Genomic DNA, 22,540 nt, shown 5'->3' with positions numbered 1-22,540 from the left:
TTCTCTGACTTGCTCAGAGATGCTATACAAAGTTGATTGACAATCATTTGGCTTTAGATATGCTTCATAGATTGAATCTGACTTTATAGGTTGTGGAACTTCCCTGGTTGCTCTTCAGAAATGGAAAAACATGGCAGGTCCAAGAATCCTTACACTATTCGGGTTCTTTTTGTGTCCCTTTTCCTGTGCTTCTCCCACCTCTCAGGGGCTATTTATCTGCTACCTGCTGCACAGCTCACAACTGGGGTGGGACACACATACACAAATGCCTGAGTTTAAGACTCCCTCAAAGCACCATTTCCAATAAGCCAGAGTTTTTTTCTGATTTTGAGGATCACCTTAAGCCTGAAAAGATGATTTTCTGTCTCCAAGAAAAATTCTTAAAGGCTTATAAAAGTTATCATAAGACTCTTCGTACATCAACTAGGCCTTCCCAAAGAACATCGAGCAAATGAATCAGAAATATATGGATTTAAGTTCCCCCTAAATTAAACGTGGGTTTCACAGAAGGGCGTAAAGGCAGGGGTTGATGTGGGAAAGAATATGACAAAATGATTGTGAATCTTTGATAAATCAAAACTATTTGAAAAATCCATTTTTAGAAAGAATAAAAATGCTGCTTATATTTCCAGTTCATTCTGGTTTGAGATGTTAAGTTTGCTTCGGTTTAGAGAGCTGTTCTCTGATCTTGATCTTCAATGATGATCTGATAGATCAGACCAAAAACACAGTTTTCCTGGGCCTCTTTTATACAGGTTCAGTGGGTTTCATTCACCAGCTTTGATGGAGGCTGATAGTCTGCAAGTATTATCCTCTTCAGGAATAAAGTCTAGGAAACATTTTCCGTGATGTTGATCTAGTAGCATTTGCAATCATAGTACCTTCTCCAGTGGACTTGGAGAAGATTAAGGAAAACACATCATTACTTGAGAATGGAGAAATAGATCTGCATTTAAGACTTGCAGTCTCAGTACCCAGAGCAGAATGTTGAACGAAAAAGAGATGTTCTATACTTACTTCTTGATTCATTTTAATAGCAATTACAATACAAACAAAATCCCAATAAAATGACCTTGATAACTCTCCCTGTGTATAACCAAGGTCAAGTCCAATTTACATTCTTTTCTAAAAATGCTGCTTTGTCACATTGCCAAGGACAAAGGAAGGTTGAGTCCAGCTATATATCTTTTAAAATCTTGGGAAGGTTTTAACAAAGAGAAATTTTTCTCATAATTACCATATAAAATGTCTGAAATCAATGCCTGCTATGCTTCTGGAGTTTGAAAACAGTGAGATGTCCTTTAATCCTAAATTTTTCCTTGTTTATTTTATTAATCTGCTTAGTAAACCCCTGTTTTTAATAGACAATGTTAAGGCAAACCTAAGTCACGGTCTGACAAATTGCTATCTTTCCCATCTTAATGCAGATCCAAGAACTCATTTCTACAACTGGAATACAAGATGGCCCAACTTCTTACAATGTTGGACTCCTTTGTGCATTATGCCCACTTTTCCACCCTTTTCTTACAACTCTCCCAAGTGCACCACAGGCTTACCAGACCTCATTCTGTTCTTCAGAGGCATTGAGCTTTGGCCCATCTTAGGGCTCTGACGATGGCCATTCCCTCTGCCAAAATGTTGCACACTCCCATCCTTGCACGGCTTGCTCCTTATCTCTGCTCAAGTCCCCATCCCTGACCATTTAACCAAAAGTGCTTTCATTGGGCCTGCCCTTTGCCCCAGTCATTCCACAACCTATTGAACTGCTTATCTTTTCTCTAAGAAAATCATCAATCTCTAAAGTTACCTTGTTGCTATAGTTATCTACTGGTTTACTTCTGTATTCTCCTACAAACTGTAAGCTTTATGAAAATAAGGCCTTATTCAACTTATTCACCACTCTATCTGAGGAACTTGCACAGACTAGGGATTCAACAAATATATATTAAGTGGACGAATGAATGAATAAAGCCATGTAACAATTACATGCTCTTAGTGCCCTTTCCAGATCTGTTCACCAGTTCCGTGCATCCTCAGCTGCTATGTGGTCCATGTGCTCTGAACTCATGCCTGCGACATTCTCTGGAGGATTACTATTGAGCAACTGGAGCCACCTCACCTGCAAGGAGTTTACAATCCCCCTGAGCCATCCCATAGTCAACGAATGACTTGTGAAGGAAGGACAGACTCTCAATTCTCAGGTAGAACAAACTGGTGGTGCCATTCACACGCCAGAGCTCCTTGCAGGATCAGGCTGAAGCTACACTTTACCCAAAATCTCATCTTTTTTATGCTTCTTCTCATTTCCTGCCCTGTTCCTCTCCTTCCCTCCCTTTCTTCTGAGAGCACTCCCTCAATAAATAACTTTTCCCCAAATCCCTGTCTCAGGCTTCTAGGGAACCCAACCTAAGACAAGCCATAAATAACAGTTCATAAAGTCAGCATTCATCCCGCTGATAATTTTAGGCAGTGCCCAGTTAACATTCAATCTGTGTTATAAACAATTGCTACTGTGTGTTGTTAATACCACTGGGGACAAAAGGTGCAGCTTTTACAACAGTGATCCAGGAGTCCTTGGATTAATTGACAAGGACTCATGGATTGATTTTCACACCAAGCTTTATCTATAAACATATATTAATAATATGTTTCATACAAATATATACCCATAACAACAAATACATATGGGTATCATGCTACTGAAATACACTTTATTATAAAACATTCAATTCAGAGTAAGACTTGATCGTTTGATATTTATCAATTTTAATACTCTTGGATATGAAAGATTGTTTGAATGTTAAAGGGAGATTCTCATTCTCTGAAAAGGGAAGGGGGTGTATTATTGATTTAGAAAATAAATTTCCAAAGTAAAATAAAGAAAAACACTATGTTTAGAGAATCAACCTAAGGTCCCAGGGTCAAATTCCAAGAAAAAGTTGCTTTATCTGCCTCAGAATCTCTTTTTGTATATGCTTTCCTAAACATTTTCACTCATTTTCTTATCAGCTACAATCCCATAAGTTGAAAATTCAGTCAAGCTAATGTGAAGGTTAAGGAGCTGGTAACCATTCCCACTTTGGTAAGAAATTGCCAAGCCATTGATTCAATAAATATGTTTTGAGAATCCACTCTGTGAAAGGTATTAAGAGAAGGACAGGTCCTTCTCTTAATAAACAAGTTTTTTCTTATCATCTGGCTAAACTAAACTAAGGTAGAACAGTAAAAGAATAAAAGGTTGGGATTGAAGAAATTATATGAGGCTGGAAACAAGCAAGTTGGAGGCACGAAACACTTTGGGTTTGGGGAAGTGAGAACCCTGTACAAGCACGAGCCAGTGGTGGGGGGATGGGGGGAAAAAGAGGTACCAGGAAATGAGGATGATGACAAAAGAAAATTTGCTCTGATCAGAAATGTTGCCTATATCATACAACAAGGAAGTTTCCTGACCTAAACTGGTGCTCCCACCACTCACCACAGCGACCTTTCTGAATAGCAAAGCTGTTTTTTAGACCTACTTATTAATATAATATATATATATATATATATATATGAACATGTCTTTCAACCTATAGAGTACTAGGTCTTTGTTCACAGGTTTGTGATGATACTATTCATTGAAAATGAGCTATGATTTGGGAAATAGGCCAGCATTTTTCCGTATGAAGTAACCTCTGTATCGGCTAATAAAAACTCCCGTTCAACACAGCAAGCCTTTGTTACCACTGTACCTCATTGGTTTAAATCCTATCTGGAGGTTTGAGGAGAAAGTTAGACATTCATTCAGAAAGCCATGTATTGATCACCTATTATGCACCAAGAGCAATGCTGTATACTGGGAACCTGAAGATAGATTAATGAAACATCTCACTCTGAGAAAAATCACAATTTGGGATCCTACAGAAGCAACAATTAATTCTGCCTAAAGGAGTGGGGAAGGCTTTGGAAGGAGCTGATTTTCTGGTTGGTCCTTAAAAAATAAGGAGGTGGAAAAGGAGGTCAAGTCACCCCAGGTAGGTTCAAAAATCTGTGCAAAAATACTGAAATAGGAAAGTATGGCTTAATTGGGAGTAGTGAAGAGACTAGTAAAGCTGAAAAATATTGCCTGCACAACTTTTCATGCATTTAAGGACCATTGGCATTTGGATGTGCTGTTTTGTAAAGTACCTATTGAAGTCTCTGACTATTTCACTATTGAGTCATTTGCACTTTTCTTATTGATTAATAGAAGCTCTCTCTATATTCAAGAAATGAGTTCTTTCTCCAGATAACATATACTGTAATTATCTTCTATGTGTTGGCTTTTCTCTCTCAACGATGTCTTTTGAAAGGCAAAAGATTTTAATTTAACATAGCCAATTTATCAACATTTCCCTTTGTACTCGGCACTTTGGGGCCTTGTTTAGGAAAATTTTTCATTACCACACTATTTATCATTCCCAAAAGCTGGACGCAACCCAAATGTCCATCAAGAGTAGAATGGGGCCAGGTGCAGTGGCTCATGGCTCATGCCTGTAATCCCAACCCTTTGGGAAGCCAAGGCAGGAGGATCATTTGAGCCCAGGAGTTTGAGACCAGCCTTGGAAACATAGTAAGACCCCATATCTACAAAATATTTAAAAATTGACTGGATGGGGCGTTGCATGCCTGTATTCCCAGCTACTCAGGAGGCTGAGATGAGAGGAATGCTTAAACCTGGGAGGTTGAGGCTGCAGTGAGGCCTGATCTTGCCACTATACTTCTACCCGAGAAACAGAGCAAGGCCCTGTCTAAAAAGAAAAAAACAACAACAGTAAAATGGGTAAATAAATATCCCTTCAACGAAACATTATACAGTGATGAGCATGAATCAGCTCCAACCACATGCACAATATGGATGAAACAAACATCATGCTAACTGATGCAGTAGAATTCCTGCTGCATGGTTCCATCTATTCAAAGTTCCAAAAAGATAAAACTCATCCATGGGATTAGAGGTCAAGACAAGGATTACCCTTGGGGGAATACTGACTAGGAGGGACGTCGAGGGGCTTTTGGGGTGCTGGTTGTATTGTGTTTCATGAGCCGGCTGCTGGTTTCATGCACATGCAAATTGTATAAGAATTCATCAACACACACATTTTTCTACACTTATGTTATACTTTTATAAAATATTTGCATTTAAAAACGTAAGAAAAGACCACCTAAGGAAGAATGGTAGCCAAGTTTTGTTTCTTAACAAAAATTTCAGAATTTGAAGATCCCTATTAATAAGTTAGGGGTGTATTAGAAAGTTTTCACATTCTGGGCTTTAGAAAGACTAACTTGCTGTGAGGAGTGGGCTGTGTGGATATAATGGGAGGTAAGGAGACCCATTTGGAAATGCTACAACTATCCAAGCGAGAGATGAGGAGGCCTTGTTAGGAGCAGAGGCCATGGCAATGTATAGAGATGACCTTGAGCTTTTTTCACTGAATGTTTCTTTAAAATCCATGCACCAGTGTCATAAGACCAGAAGCACCTGCACAAAGTGTGGGGGGCAAAGGCCTACGAGTCTTCAACAGATGTTGAGTTTTCAAACAATGCTAGACCTTGATAAACAAACCTCTCTCCTAGATTTATTAAGTCCAAGCATTTTTGTCTGGCTCTTGTCTTAGACTGTAAGACATGAACGCTGGTACAAATCCACATAAGGATTAGCGGAAAGTTATAGAACTGACATAATATTGTTTTGATACATTTTTCCTTTCCTCCTTTTCACCACCCTCCCCTGCACACTATTCAAGTCCTCTTGCTGGGTGGTTTTCACTTGTCTCCTTAATTCCCTCCTCCGTCTGCATACTCGTTAGGAGAAACAGTGATTCCTTTTCTGGGAAATGAGAAGCACTGGAAGGCAGCAACTGCATAGGGAACTCAGGTAGGTAGAACGATGTAAGATGGATCATGGCCAGGCCTCCAGGCTCAGAGAGTGCCACAAAGTCTCCCGTAGGCCCGGTGTCAGGACCACATTTGTGCCACCTCCAAGAGACAGTAGGGATGGGACAAACCCCTTGCTGTCATCAGTGTTGCTCCATTATGTTCATTGGCAAATATTTATTGGGCATTTCTGACTGAGCCACCCACTCAATTGCATGCTTCGTGGGAAAGGGCAGGAAGGAAACATGAAATCTATCCCCACTGCTTGAAGTGAAATCATGATCAAAAGAACCAGTGTGCACCCCACTCCATCCTGCCTCAGGCCCTGCAAGAGTAGGCTCTGCCTGCCCAAGATTTTATTTTAAAAAGGAAAAAAAAAAAACCAGTGCATAAAAACTTAAACACAGTATCTCCAAGAGCAGAGCCATGAGCTGAGAAGACACAACGAATTGCAGATCAAGCGATGGGGTCTGGTTTCCTAATCTTTCCAAGGTCTCTTTTCAGACCTGATATTCTCACACCATCTTCTAGATTTTACCATGAGATGGTCTCTCATTTCCAAACTCTCTTCTATGCTTTGTATCTTGCCACCTTATTAAAAGGCTGCTCATAACACGGTTCGAAACCGACTCCAAACTACCTTCCTGAGTTTGCTGTACCACCCTCTCCTGGGAAGCTGAGATGTCAGAATAAAAGTCACTCTGCCCAGAAAAAAAGCAGGACTTCTCTACCTGCCTTTTCTGAAGGAGCACCATCTCTGCAACTCATTGGTCAGCCCCAAAGACTCCCACTTCTGCTGGACAAAAGTGTCATGGTTTTCTCGCATGAGGAGATGCAGTCTCACTCACTGACCTGCGATAATTCCTGAGTCCAATTCACGTCACACACTGACAGTTGCAGAGTGGCTGCAACATTAATAGTCATTTAGAATCATGAGAAGGAAGGTTTCTCCCAGGCCCTCTTAAGCCTGAAAAGTCCCCAGGACTAAACAGCCTCCAATTTACTCATGAAACAACATAACTCTCTTATTTCCTGGACAATGAATCTTAAAAGCCACCATTCATTTCCCGGGCGTCCACTCAATCACTTCTTAGAAGCAAGCTTCGAGTGGCCATGTACCAGACCTGTCCCCCTCATGAGATATAGCAAATCTGTGTCTCCCTGAGGTGAATTCTTCACTGTTCCAAAGAATATGGTGAGCTATGTTTTAGCCAATTATGCAGTAGTCACCTAAACTTGGAATACTATTGGCATTTTCAGTCTCGGAATGAAAATGGCGCTAGAAGTTTTCCCATCTTTTCCTCCCTCCTGTTGCACATTTATTTTGAAGCCTTGCTTATGTTATCTTCTGAACTGGTGGATATTATATGTAGAAGTGTTTCTCAGACACTTCCACCAAAATTATCCTTTTAGCATAAGAGAACACTTATGCTAATGGTTTTACTAATAATACTAAACCAGAGGTTTGAGGGGTGAACTCATAACAGTCCCTCATAATTGCAATTTTTTTCCCTGAAATCTCGTGTTTATCTTTAAAGTTCATGTACTATTTATTTACTCCTCTACATTATTGTGCCCTTTTTAATATAAAACTAGTAGTACAAATTGCATAGCATCATTTTTAGTTAATGCTCAAGAAAACTGCACCCAGTTCTATTTTATAGATAATATTGCATGGTTTTGAGAAGCAAATGACAAATTTCATAAGATCCTTTGACAGATAGAAATAATAACTCATTTTAGTAAGTGTTCTTTAGTATGTTAAATTGAGCATACAGGAAAATGCTTATAAGATGTCACATGTAGATTGAAGTAAAAGAAAAGAGAGAGGGGGAAAGAATGAAAGAATAATGAGAGCTGATCCCTTGCCCCCTGCCCCGTTTTTTAGGAGAAAGAACACTCTGGGAAGATTCTGTATTGCACTCCTCCATGAAAACATCAGGATGGAATGGGCCTTTGAATTTAAGTGGGTGGCTGGTTCTTCCGCACTTACAAGCCCAAACCTACACCTCCAGTAATTTTTCTTTAATTTTTTAAATTTTTATAAATTAAGGGAGTGAAAGTGCAGTGGTGTTACATGGATATATTGCACAGTGGTGAAATCTGGGCTTTTCATGTACCCATCACCTGAATAGTGTGCATTGTACCCAATAGGTGGCATTTCATCCCTCACGCTACCACCCTCCTGCTTTTGGAGTCTCCAGTGTCTATTATTCCACTCTGCACAGCCATGTGTACCCATTGCTTAGCTTCCACTTATAAGTGAGAACATGTGGTTTTCCAATTTCTGTTTCTGAATCATTTCACTTCAGATAACGGCCTCCAGCTCCATCCATGTTACTGAGAAACATGATTTTATTCTTTTTATGGCACCATCAGATAATTTTATCTTGTATCTCTTTCTGGAACAAATTATAGGAATCCCGCCATGGACGACCTGCTCCTTGCTCCAGCCTGGCCAGTGCTTTGTAAGCATACAATTTCATAGCTATCATCCTAATTCATCCCCAAAGTCCTGGGGACAGTCTTCTTTGATGAGTGTGGAAGGAAGGCAATTGTGATAACAAAAAAGTGGATTTCTACATAGTCAAAAGATTTGACTATGGAATGGAATTTAGTATGGAGAGTGTCTTGAGTGTCTTGGGTGTCTTGGGTGCTGGAAGACTCTAAGTCTAGTGGGTACTAATTTTTGTAATGATCACATGGCTCATCAAAATCTATGTGTGGGATGTGTATTTTACCACAAGCTCAAACTAAGATAACACGCGCTTATTTGACACACAGACCTCAGTAGCACAGAGCCCACTATGGCGGGCTCATATATGACGTTGTCTAAGGCCTTGTTGTCATCTCAACTCCTATTGAACCCCTCCAGCCTTTCCCCCAAACAGAAACTTGAATGGAATCAAAACTACACCTACCTGTGATGTTTACCCTGACAGAAAGTCCAATTGCCATGTCTCAAAATCTCTGGAATTGTTCATGGTTCATTTCTCCTTCCTTTGTATCTTAAGTCAGGGTCTAGAAGCAGAGCCCAAAGTGAGGATTCACTTGGAAGTAATTTACTGATAAAGGAGAAAGGAAAAAAAGGAGAAGCAAACTAAGGGTGTGGTCTCAGCTGGAGCCTAATCTCAATCTGATCCCACAGGGAGCACTGGAGCATGGATTGCACCACAGAGTTGCCTCCCTCTCTTTGAGGCAAAGGGTCCTTTTGTGCCCCTGCATCAGTCAGTCCTTGGCTGCTGGCCACTCCCAGGGGCAAGGGAGTTGCATAACTTCCCAGGCAATTCCAGGCTAGGCAACTCCCATCTGGCCAAGAGCAATTCTCCAAAGAAAGAGGCAGCTGTAAACCATTAAGAGCCAATGCTAATAGCACGTGGATATGGAAACACCAGTCTGGTCAAGGGGATCTGAGTGGGTCAGCAATCGCATTCCCATACGTACCATCTTACTTCATCCCTAAAGATATTCCTTTGGACAATGTTTGGGTTCCTAACGCTTCCTTTAAACAATTCTAGTGGAGCAGAATATAATAATATACCAATCCATAGTGTTTTATTAAAAGCCTGCTGTGTACCAGTCACTTTTCTAAATGTATTGTGTTTATACAATAATCTATAAGGCAGGCTTGATTATTACCCATATATTACATATGAGAAAATGGAGGGACAGAGTAACTAAAAATCTAATCAAGTTAGTAAGTGGCAGAACCAGAGTTAGGACCCATTTTCTTAATATTGCATTACACTTCCTCTTGCTTGTAGCCAAAGAGTAGCAGCAAAAGAGAAAGAAAAATAAGCTCAGAGCTAAAGTGGTAAATTTCTACTATATGAGATAACCACACCTAACTAGGTGAGGAAAAATAGCCCTTTTGAATTATGGATATAAGAGCTTGAGGATGGTTGTTAATACTCTTTTGCGTGTATGTGAATTTCAAAAACATCTTGCAGTTTTATCCACTTGGTTGATGTTCACCATTTGAACTTTCAACATTTAAATCCCATGAAAGTGCTGTTGCATAAGATGTGACTCTATGCCAAAGGAAATAATAGCTAACACTTGTTAAGCAGTTTCTGTGTGCCAGGCACTGTTCTAAGCCATTTACATGGATTATAGCATGTAATCCTCAGAACCTTGCCATGAGGCAGCCTCATTTTTAGATAAGGAAACTGAGGCACAGAGGGTATAATTAATTTGTCTAAGGGTATATAGATAGAAAGCATCAGGCCACATTTCCAAGTGAGCAGTTGGGCTTTGGAGCTTACGTTTCTACTTTCACTACAGTGCTGCTAGAAGAGTCATAGATGGTTGGAGCTAGGAATCATATGGGAGAGTCTAACTTTCCAAATTGAGAGATGGGAAACTGAGACCCAGAAAGAGTTGGTGATTTCCACAAGGTCACACAGACCCAAGATGCTTAATTTTCGTAACAGTACTCTCTATATTTTGACAAATTTTGTTAAAGAAAAAATATATAAACCAGAGACAGTGTCATTTAATTGACTAGAATTCAGGGGTGAGTTTTTAAATGTCTGAAGTCTCCTTTTTTCTTCTCTCCCAGGAAGTGATAACACCAAGAGTTGCTGTTTAGGAAGGCAAGGAAGAAACATCAGTGTCTCGTCTAGCCTCAGAAAAAAACGACTTCCTATTTTTACTACTGTTATGAATCCCTCACTCATGGACACCTTTGTGACGTGACTTCCAAGTTGCTATTCTATTTTCTGGCTGGAACCTGCAAACTCCAATCTGGAAGTATATCTCTTTAGGGAAAGGGAAGGAAGACCAGAACCAGTGTTTATTAAATACCTACTAAATGTCAAATTTACTATGCATAGCTCTACATATGCTATATAAATTACCCATGAAAAAAATCACTGGCATCGCAATGTGTATCAGCTAGCATTTGCTGCATAACAAACCAACCTAAAACGTAGTGGCTTAAAACAACCATGTATTATTGCTGATGAGTGTCTGGATCAGCTAAGTGGTTCTGCTGAGCCATGCCAGGCTTAACTGATTCCAGCTGGATTCACTCATGTTCCTGCAGGTAACTACTGGATTAGCTAGGGGCTGGCTGGTATAGGATGCCCTCAGCTAAGGTGGTTCATTTCTGTTCCATATTCTACAAAATGATATTCCATGCACGTTCACATGGCAGTGGCAGAAGAGAGTAAGCAGAAGCCATGAGGCCTCTGAGGCCTAGGCTCAGATTGAATCATGGCCTTTGAGGCCTAGGCTCAGATTGAACGCACCATCCCTTCCACTCCATTCTATTGGCCAAATCGAGTCACAGGGATGGCCTAGATTCAAGGGGCAGTGGGAGGGGAAAACAGATTCCACCTCTTGATGGAATAAGCTGCAAAGTCACATGGTCAATGGCATGAACACAGAGAGTAATAGAAAATTTGAGACTTTTCTGCAATAAACCAACCACAAATATCTTGGAATATTCTAGATCATATAAGTTGTATGTTTTCCTCCAAAAACATGTTTCTCTTGCATGTCTAGACTACCTTTGAAGATTTTTGAGTTCCCTTTAGTTTCACTTACAGAAAAATTCAGGAAAGATGCTGTAGGGTTTTAAGATGGCATATAGAATTTTCAATTTACCCAAGTAAGACAAATGACCATCTAAATCCAGTAAAAGCCTATGTGCTTTTATTCCAAATAACAGCAGGACAGAGTTAATTCTACTTCTCCTCTTTTCATCTACTACATCACTCACTGCTTGAAAGAAGAATCAACTAGACAGGAAGCTTTCTACTCCTGCCAGTTGGGTTTGGTAAGAGACCAGCCCAACAGCTGAGTGTCTGCCTTAAGGGAAGCCCCGTGGCCTCCACCAAAATGAAAGCACACATTGCCCTGGTGTTTTGTTTTGCAAATAAAAAATAAAAACATGTTATTAAAAAGAAACCCTCTAAATCAGAGATCATGGATAGTTTTTATCCTATATGCCAACTCCAACTGGTTAATAGAAGCTTCCAGGAGTGCTATGTTGGAAATATTAGGCTTCAGGCAATTCTAACAAAATTAGTATAGCACAAGAACTTTCCAGCAATAAAATATGGTCACACAGTGACTGATTCCCGCCATTAGATTAAATTTACAGGGTAAGCTGATTCTCTTCTCCTGGGCCTCTTCCCCATTGCTTCTTTCCCTCTACTTCTACCTGGGCTGTTTTTGAGAAAGGCAAGTAGAGTAGGGTTTCAATCTGCTGTTGGGTTTTTATCACAGGCTCTGGAATATGGACACAATGTGACTTTTTTGGCCTTTTCAAGTGTGTAGATGGTAAAGATCATGGAAGAACAAAGGTAGATCTACGATAAGGGCAATCTATTCCAAAGCTCAATATATTGATTCAGACTAAATCTAACCCCAGGAGAAATTATCTAAAACCCAGAAATAATTCAAGAGCATCACAGCAGAGTGCACACCCTTTGGGCTCACTCTAAGTCTACCTTGACATGTTTCTCAAGATAATATCAACTATCCACTGAGTTGAGAGGAGCCTGAAGATAGATCTGGATGGTCAGGCTCCGCATTAACTTAAGGAGAAACATCTCAGACCCAGAACAAGGGTTATCAACAATGCAGCAATGCACATGGTATGGTGAAAAGAATACAAAACACAAGGATTCAGATTCTGCCTTTGCAAGTTTTAACATTTCTCCCAGAGTCTCAGAAGAGATGTAATACAACCATCTCAGAGTTTATGGTGAGAATAAAATGGGCAAATATGTAAAGCACACAGACTAATAACTGGATCATATAGTTAGGGAGTCTAGGCTCCCTAACTGTTACTATTATTATTAATTGCAAGGCAATAATAATAATTTTTATATAATTACATATAATAAATATATGTAATATATAATAATATAAATAATAATATAGTCATAGTAATAGCAAAAGCAAATCAGTTAAGTTTCTATTATGCGCTAGGAACTGGGTTCCATGCTATACTAGAGAAAACCAAAATATAAAGACTGTTGTTTATCTTTGGGAAATAGAGTCTGTTTGGAGACAAGGTGAGTATATATAAAATAAGTAAGAGCTGTGGAGAACAACATATGAAATACTCAACTAGACTCTGAGAACACTGAGACTCTAGGATCATTGCTTCTACCTCTTGTCAAAACAACAAATTAGTTTCTCAAACTCATTGACATTTCCCTTTTCTTAGGACAGTTATTTGAAATGACTCAACGATCCAAACTTGTTTCATCTGATCTTTCAATATTTTTATTTGTACTTTGAGGGTCGCCAAATCATTGTGTCCTGACAGATGTAAAGAATGGGCCATCCTCAGCTAAACAGAATGAAGCCACCACTCATCACCCTGTACCCCATCTTGTACTTTATACATCATTATCATCACCCCCAGCTGTTGTATCATGGGCCCTCAATAAGGTAGAATAAAAATGACAACAGGCCAAGGCCTGATGCTTTCAAAATTTTCCGCTAGATGCCAATGCTTTTGAAATATCATACTCTCTTTCCATTACTCAGATGTCATTATGCACGCAAAGCATGTTCTTAATCGCCCACAGTAGGCTAGAGGCAGGATACATTGTTCAACAATAATTCATGTCCTATTAAATGTGAAAATTGGACTCACGTGATTCAGTCACTGCCTCACCCAGTTGCAAGGTGGAAAATGTATCTAAGCTAGCACCTTTGTGAACCATGGCAGGGAGGTGATCCCTGAGTCCCAACAAAAATCAGGAAACAATGACTGAAGCATGAAGATGAAGGCCTTTGTCAGCTCATAAAGCAGAAGTGATTGCAATTAATTGCTGATAAAATATGAAAGAGTCTCTTGTTGCTAGAGATCAGGTGCTAAGACATAGTACAGCTCTTCCCTGAGAGCTTGGGAAAGACATGTCTCTGAACTGTGCTTGTGACAAGGCCAGTGAGTTGATCTGTGTTTTGGGTGTTTCAGGAGGAACAATACTGAGAGCCATAGAGGATGGAGAGACATCCCAAAAGGCAGGCTCCCTCCCCAGGTTGACATGAACCACCCAGGCTAACATGACTCTTCTAGCAGAAAGCTGCTTTTGAATGATTTCCCCAACCAAATAACAACAGGAACGTTGATGGTGAAAGAGCAAATCCCACAGGTGATTGGTTATCACAAGAGTAAAAAAAAAATAAAAAATAAATAAATGGTAATGTGAGTAAACATTCACAAATCTTTGGAATATAAGTTTTTGGAACACATTTTAGATGTTATTCACTCTAAGATGATATTTGATTAATCCAAATATACAAAAAAAAAGGGTAAAAAGCAGGTGGTAGTAAATGCATTTCTAGAAAAGGTGTTCAAAGTGTCTTTGAAGTCTAAAATATACGGTCCCTAACAGTCCAGCCTCAGGCTCAGGATGATTGTATTTGTGTATTTAGAATGGGAGGGTCACTTATGGACATGAGTTTTCTTCAGTACATTGAACTTCACAGTGGTTTAGAAAGTAATAAGAAATATACAAAGAATCAATATATACGAAGAAAATAACAATTTAAAATAAAGTTTAGAAATCAGATCATATCAGATCTAATTTAATATTTCCTAAATGACTCAGGCAGTAGTTTCCTAAAATGGGTCATGGACTGAATAAATCGAAATTATCAGGGTGTCATCAAAATACTAATTCCCAGGCCTCCACCTACATTAACCAAGTGGGAGCTCTAGGAAGGAGGTTCAGAAATGTACAGTTCCAGGGGCAGTGGCTCACTTCTGTAATCCCAGCACTTTGGGAGGCCAAGACAGGAGGATTGCTTGAAGCCAGGAGTTCAAGACCATCCTGGGCAACATAGCAAGACCCAGTCTCTACAAAAATAAAATAAAATAAAATAAAATAAAATAGTAGCTGAGCATGGTGGTACATGCTTGTAGCCCCTAGCTGCTAGGGAGGCTGAGGTGGGAGGATTGCTTGAGTCCAGGAGTTCGAGGCTATAGTGAGCTGTAATCATACCACTGTACCCTAGGTGACAAAGTGAGATCCTGTCTCCTAAAAAGAAAAACAAGTTCCCAAAGTAATTCTGACACACAGCTTCATGTGTAAGTGACAGTTTTCAGTCTTGCAGCAACTAAATTGATAATTATGCCTTCAGTAGGAAAGAGCACAGGATGTGAGTCGGGGGAACTGGGCCCAGTTCAGCCTCTGCCTCTGAGAAGCACTTATCCTACATGCCTGTTCTTTTAAGTGCAGTCTGTGGACCAGCAGCATCAGCATCTCTCAGCAGCTTGTTAGAAATGCAGATTCTCAACCCTGCCCCTCACCTACTAAATCAGGATCTCCACCTTAACAAGCTCTCCCTGTGGTTCCTGGGCACACTGAAGTCTGAGAAGAACTGTCTAGACCACATCATTCAACCTCTCAGAGTTTCATTCACAAACAGATGGACTTGAAGCAGATATCTAAATCCTCCTCCCAGACCTAGTGCTGCATGCTGACCATCGGAGTGAGGACACAGAGGGAACACAATAGAAAGTTCTAGATAGGATGCCAGAAAAAAGAGTGTGAGATTAGGTATACACACACACACACACACACACACAGAGAGAGACACACACACATAATTTTATAGAAACCATTTGCCTAGGAAAAACCCTAATCCCATGACGCACACAACCTCATATGAGATCCTGAGACTCTGCTCAAGCGGGAGCAGTCCCTTGCTGGGGATGGGAAACTGAGGAAGTGAGAAAGGTTGTGGATAACCCGACGCCCCAGGGCAAGTCCAGGGGAGAGGACAGACTGCAATCCAGGTGTCTGTGGGCCCAGCCCCAGACCACCCTGTCTTGTTATCTCAGCTGCATCAGGAAAAATTAAGAAAATAAGAACAGGACATCATAACAAAGAAAGCGGGTGTTTATAGGAGGCGGTATATGGACATTGCTCCTCAGTCCCATTCTAGAGCCATATCAGTCTTTGGATTGTTATTTTAAATTTATTAAAATTCACATCATTAAAATTGAGCATTAGGGCCCCCATACTCTGACAACCATGCTAGCCCTCCCTCCATCTCCTGGCCTGTATAGTTTCACTTTGGAGGAACCAATGTCAAATAAATATATCCTGCTAGTTCCCAAGAGTCAGATTTCATGAGTCCTGACTGCCACCTTTGTTTTCAAGATTCTAGAGCTCAGTTTCCCATTGTTTACCGTTCCCTGGGCTCTGTAGGTAAGTTATGTGTGTCCTTATTGTGAAATTCCCATGTCAGGAACTCAGACATTTACACATGGAGTGATATACCAATGTGGATTCACTTACCCTTTCTAATTGCATAAGAAATTTATGAATATTAATAACATTCAACCCCATAGAAATATACAACATAAGAGATGACATTCCCTTTCCACACAGGTCCCCATTATGCTGTTACCACTAACAGCGCAGCACCAATGTGCCACTCTTTTTAAATTTTTTATGCATAACTTTTTTTAAAACAAGAGCATATCATACATACTATTTTGCAAATTGCTTTCTTTACTGTATATCTTATGGTCATCTTTTTAAGTCCATTTATAATGCTCTCTCTTCTTCCTCATGTCTACATGGCATTTCAACATTTCCCCAACCATGAACCTAACCATGGACACTTGGATTGTTTCCAATTTTTGTCTATTACAAACTATGCTGCACATTTGAACATATAACACCAGGAGTGCCCACATGAAGTGGCAAGCTCTTTGGTATGTTGTGTTTGCAGATTGCTGATTTGTCTGCTGGTGCACCTTTCAGTCTTCAGCTGGGATAATGGTGGTGATGGAAGGCTGGATTTATTGGAGGTACCAAGGATTTGAAATTATGATCCCCATTGTCTGAAAACCTTGCATGCACTCTGCAGGAGTCCATCTTTGCTACAGAGATCCCTTGCCCATACCACAAACCCCTATCCCACACAGCCTCACCACTCATCCCATGGAGCCAGTTCCTTCATCCAACAAGGCTTCAGGTACCAGCAAGACAGACCTGGTCACTGCTCTGAAAGAGTCTATAGTCTAGAAAGGATGTTAGAGAAGTAAACAGAAAAATAAGAATTTCAGATGGAGATATATGGTATGGAGAAAATATTACCAGGTCATGAGACGAACAGTGACTAGAAGCGGTAAGGGGAGGTAAGTTTTCAAAATATTTTTTCGTAGATAAAAATCACTTGGTTAAAAATTCTAAAAGTATTAAAAATAAGTATAAAACCTTATGAAAGTCAATCTCCTGCCCTTGGGCCCTAAGGATCTAGTTACCCTACCCTCTGAAAACCCTGACAACAAATGTTTGGTTATCAGGACATCTTATGTAATCTTTAGAGATAATTTATTTGTATGTGTGTGAGAGAGAAAATGTGTGGGCAAATGTATAAACATATGTATACATATCTTATCCTACTTTTTTACACAAATGGTAGTTTCCATCTTATCTACCACTCTATCTTGCTTTTTCCACTTAATGTATTTCAAATACTATTTCATTTCAGTGTAATGAATGAATCATTTTCTATTCTTTTTTATAATTGAATGGTATTTCACTGTGAAGATATCCTATAATTATATAGCCAGCCCTTTATTGAGAGCCATTTACTGCATCAATCTTTTGCCAATCACTAGAACAATGAATATCTTGGATATATGTCAAGTCATGTTTATGCAAGTGTATCTGTAGGAAAAGAAAATATGGATTCAGCAGGTCAAAAAGGATTTGTAATTTTGATAGATATTGCCAACTTGTATGGCAACAGGTAAGGACATTTTTTCTATAGAGGGCATGAAAGCAAATATTTTCAACTTTGCAGGATATACAGTCTCTATCACAACTACTCATATCTGCCATTGGCGCACAAAAGCAGCCATAGACACAAATAAAGGAATGCGCATGATTTTGTTCCAATAAAACTTAAGGCATGAAATTTGAATTATACATAATTTTCATGTGTCACAAAATGTTTTATTTTATTGATATATACTTACAGTATACAACATGATTGTTTTCATACACATATGTATAGTGAAATGATTAACATGTTCAAGCAAATTAACCTATGCATCACCTTCCATAGCTACCTTGTGTGTGTGTGTAATAAGAGCACCTAAAATCTATTCTTAGCAAATGTTCAATATACAATACAATACAGTACAGTAAAATACAATACAATACGATACGATACAATATTATTTTGATTTTTTTCAACTACTTAAAAATGGTTCTTAGGTCTTGGGCAGTACAAAAGCAAGCAGCAGGCTGAATTGAGCTCACAAGCCATCGTTTGCCAACTTCTGCCATTTACATCCCCACTATTTGTATTTGAAAGCCTGTTTGTGCCAATACTGTGGCCAATACCAGGTATTACCAAACTTTTGAATCTTTGCCAATTTGACAGGTGAAATTGTATCTCAGTTATGCTTTGCTTTGCATTTCTCTTTTTTAAAGCAATGTAAATGATCTTTCTTTGTAAATTTCCCTTTGTATAAACATGACTATTCTATTCTTTTTCTGCTATTTGTTTGATATTGGTCTTTTTCTTATCAGTTTGTATGCCTCCTTTAAGAGTAGAGAAATTCACACTTTGACAGAATTGCAAATATTTTTCCTGGCTTGTCATTTATCTTTGAACTTTGATGTTGGTGTTTTTCACCAGGTGCAAGTACTTTATTTTTAATCAATCTTTCATTTTATGACTTATGGCCTTTCCCTCCTCTGTAATTATAAAATAATTTTTGTACGTGTTTGTATTTTCAGTATTTCCTTTTTAACATTAAATATTTTCTTCATTTGGAACTTATACTGTAGGGTGTGATGTGTGACTTAGTTGTCCTCATTCCCTGATTAATCTTTCTTTACTGATTTTAGATGTAAACTTTGCCTTATATTAAACTATTGTATGTATTTAGGTCTATTTCTAAACTTTCAATTCTGTTCCAATGATGTCTTTTTATTCTTATGCCAATACCATGCTGTCTTAATGAGTTTTTATAAGATTTAATAATAGGATAGTCACTTCTTGCTACCCTTCTTTTTCAGAATGTTACTAATTATTCTTGATTATTTACCTCTCTACATAAATGTTAGAATCAGTCTGATTTTTTCAAGTTATCTTTTATGTCTTCATATCTACACTCCAAATTGTTCATCCATGTCAAAATATTTTTTACAAAACAACAGTTTATGACCTTACATGTAGTAAAAGTATCAGCTTACAAAGGGAAAGTGGAAATTACCCAAGGAAAAATGCTAGTCTGAAACACCTAGACATGAACCCTCACCAGGGAAAGATGATATAAATAATCTAACCCACACTAATTCTTATAATACAAATTGTTCTTCTCCATTTACTGAAAAAGAGGAATTGGCTCTTATAGCACTTAACATAAAAGAATTTCCTAATGGTAAGAGGATAGGTGGGTGGGTGAATGGCCGGATGAGTGGGTGAGTGGGTGGATGGATGGATGAATAGATAGATGGATGGATGGATTGATGAATAAATACCAGATTACGGAGGGAACTTGAATCTCTGCATGTCTTTTGTCCATTCCTCACATTGAATCAAGCATTAATTCAATTCAACAACTTCAGGATTCCACTACGGCATATGGAAAAACAAAATATTGGTTGGTTTTCCTTCTTATTTTCTTTATTAATGGAACAAAACTCAAAGCAAATATTTAAAACTAAGATTTATTAAGGAAGAATGAATGTTGTTCTCCAGTGCTTTCTCTACTGGGGTTTCACCTTAATTGATCTTTCTCCCAATGGACCATAATCCAACTGGCATAAAGTGTTGCTGCAGATGGAGAGAGAAAGTAAAAAACTTGATTTAAACCACTGATTGATTTTATATTTCCTAGCTGGCCTGTGCCATGTGTTATAGAGGGCAATGGAAGGGGTGTGTGTGGTTGGGGTGGAGGTGGGTGGATATTTGGTTTGCTGAATTTTAACGAGACCATTTTGGTTTCCCCATGAAAACTAAAACATGAGCCCAGTTCACTGCCATATCTCCACTGGAAACCCAGAGCCCAACACAGAATCATTGCTCCAGCTTCTTCAAATTCAAGCCACTATCATATTTGTTAATCTCCATTGCAGTTGTGTTGGAAACTCCTTGCACTAAAAGTAAATTGGCTCAGGTGGAGTTCTATTATAACCAGAACTCTCCCTGATGCTTCCATTTGCGACCCAAACTCTACAGTCATCCTTCCAGAGTTTGCTCTGCCTCAGAGCAGACCATAGTAATGAATGGTAAGAAATAGGAAGAGGCAAACTTGGCCAAGGAAAGGATTTTTCGATGCCCCAGGATGACTTGTCCTTCATTAGAGGGTTGGAAGCACATGCTGTAACTTCCATTCTAAAGATGTGGACATATTAGGACCAGGATTCTTTACTAAAAACGCTTGCAACTTCTCCCTTAGGACTTTTTTTCTGGAACAAAAGTGTTAGGAAGTTAATGCCCTCAAAAGCAGCCCTCACCCAGTGACTGATGGCAACTGGTGGATAAATACCCCAACTTCCTCACCTCCCAGATGAGTTCACTCTGAGGCACATTTTATACACTGATTTCTAGAGTTCACCACTGGGATTTTGCTCCATTTGTCCATGTTGGTATCTTAATAGCACTTCCCTGACTGCCTTCCTTTCCCTTCCTGTCTCACTTTCCTGCCCCTCTGCTAAAGTTTCCTAGAATGACCTCCCTAGTAAACTACTTGCTCTGGACTCTTTCTATCTGTGTCTGCTTCTGGGGAAAACTCAACTAAGACAGACTCTGTAACCCAGTACAGGGCTCTGTACACGGATTACTCTTTTTAAATTACAATACTCAAATAGTCAACACAGAAAAATTTGGTGTGGGTTTGTAATGGAGTTGAGAAGTGAATGCATGTTATGAGGATGGGTAACTCCTGTCTGCCCCTTCTGACCCTGTTCTCTTCCATTTTATTGCTCACTCATCATTGCCCAAAGGCTCCAATCCAATCAGGCTGCCCTGTTTTAGAAGTCCCAGACACATATGTGCATTCTCACCTCCGTGCTTTTGTGCATGCCATTCTCCACATCCGAAAGCCCTCCTACTCCTCTTCAACCTGTCCAGATGGCACCAATCCTTGAAGACCTGTCTCAAGTTTTGCCTCTTCCAAGATGTCGCTTGTGTCATCGCTAAGAGAATCACAGCATGGGTAGCCTGTTATTCACAACTCACCACTTAATCATAGGCTTTTGTATAGCTTTTAACTACTGCACGTGTAATTGTTCTTGTCTCCCTAATTAAAATGCACTTTCCTTGGGAATAATCACCACACTTTGTACCTCTCTACTCCTCCCAGGGCCTAAAATAGTCTGATAAACACAATTACTTGCCAATGTATGATTTATGCTTTTAAGTAATAAAACAACATGTATGTGTATGACCAATAGTAATGAATCATTTTTAATGATCTTCAGAAAGGCCTCTTTCCTCTTATGCAAATTGCCTGGCAGACAGTTATCAGAGCATCCTTCTTGGTGATCCTTTCCAGAAGTTCACAAAAGACAACAGGCCACAGCAACACCTTGGTTTATGCACACAACTTCCCCACGCTGCTTTAAAGGCATAATAAAAGATAATGCTTCTCGCTTACAAATAAAAAGTGCTTAAATGTAATTTTGACAAAATGTGTCCCAGGGGTGATTGAAGTCTTTTCCTCTCTGTTGTGATTGTAACTGTTATAAATAGACAACCGTAAGAGATTCAAAAGGGGAAACCTTTTAAAGGCTTACTCCAGGGCTTGATACCCTCCCCACTTTATTTTTCTTAGCCCTAATGCTGAAGGAAAACAAACACTTATCGACATACTAATGGTGTTTATTTCCCATCTGTCTTGGAATGGTGGCAATGTGCCAAGCCCTGAGACAGTTCACCACAGCGCCAAGTGAGCTGAAGGCAGCCCCTCCATTCACTGTACCCATGGCTTCCCCTTTGGGGGCCATGGAAAAGTTCAGGATCTTGAATTTATTTTCCCCACCTGTTTCACACTCTGTACCTTTGCCACACCTAAGCCAATTTTCCCAGGCCCGGTGTAGATCAAATCACTTCCATTCTGCTTATGAAGTCACAGCCACCTTCATGCCCCTCTAGAAACAGGTCCATTGAAGTCAGTCGAGGAAACTCAGAAAGGCTCTTTGCTCCTGCTTTGCCCAGAGTCTGATTCCCAACTGCTCATGCCAGAGCTGCCCTAGCAGGGAACAGGAAAGCTGTCGGCCGTGAGCTGGAGCCACACCCACCTCCTCACCTGTACCACACCCTCTGCCCCGTGCTGCACCAGCAATGCCTGGGGAGCTGTGAAGAGCTCCACTCATGTTCCACCACAAGGCTTTTCATCTTCCAGCAAGTCATCCCTTACCAAAGCAAAGTTCAATCGTCCTGTTCAGGTGGGAGGTCCCTGAAAGATCCCAAGAGAAGAAGTGAGCATTTCCTGCTGTTTTTCTGTCTCCTTTCCAAGCAGCAAAGCATACAGAGGAAGTAGCTCTACTTTCTCCTCTCCTTTCTCCAAGTCTTAGCGTTTTTGGCACTGACATGGGAGCCTACGCCCAAAGCAATCATGTCTACAGCAAGATTATGCTTCGGTGGTGATATAATTCTTAATGGCACCTCAGTATATCAGCTGTTCCAGTGCCTCTTA

The 22,540-nt window shown here is 39.7% G+C and overlaps 1 long non-coding RNA gene across 1 annotated transcript in view; it reads left to right on the top strand.

The window, feature by feature from the left end:
- Positions 1–11,354, top strand: part of LOC101929413 (uncharacterized) — a 33,940-nt gene extending 22,586 nt beyond the window's left edge. Inside the window, exons 6-7 of the long non-coding RNA NR_109866.1 lie at positions 8,314–8,363; positions 10,457–11,354. This is a non-coding gene — a long non-coding RNA (uncharacterized LOC101929413). The remainder of the gene's footprint in view (positions 1–8,313; positions 8,364–10,456) is intronic.
- Positions 11,355–22,540: the final 11,186 nt, after the last annotated feature.

The sequence above is a fragment of the Homo sapiens genome, chromosome 20, assembly GCF_000001405.40.
Source record: "Homo sapiens chromosome 20, GRCh38.p14 Primary Assembly".
Taxonomy (NCBI): domain Eukaryota; kingdom Metazoa; phylum Chordata; class Mammalia; order Primates; family Hominidae; genus Homo; species Homo sapiens.
This window is presented reverse-complemented; position numbering and strand designations above follow the sequence as displayed.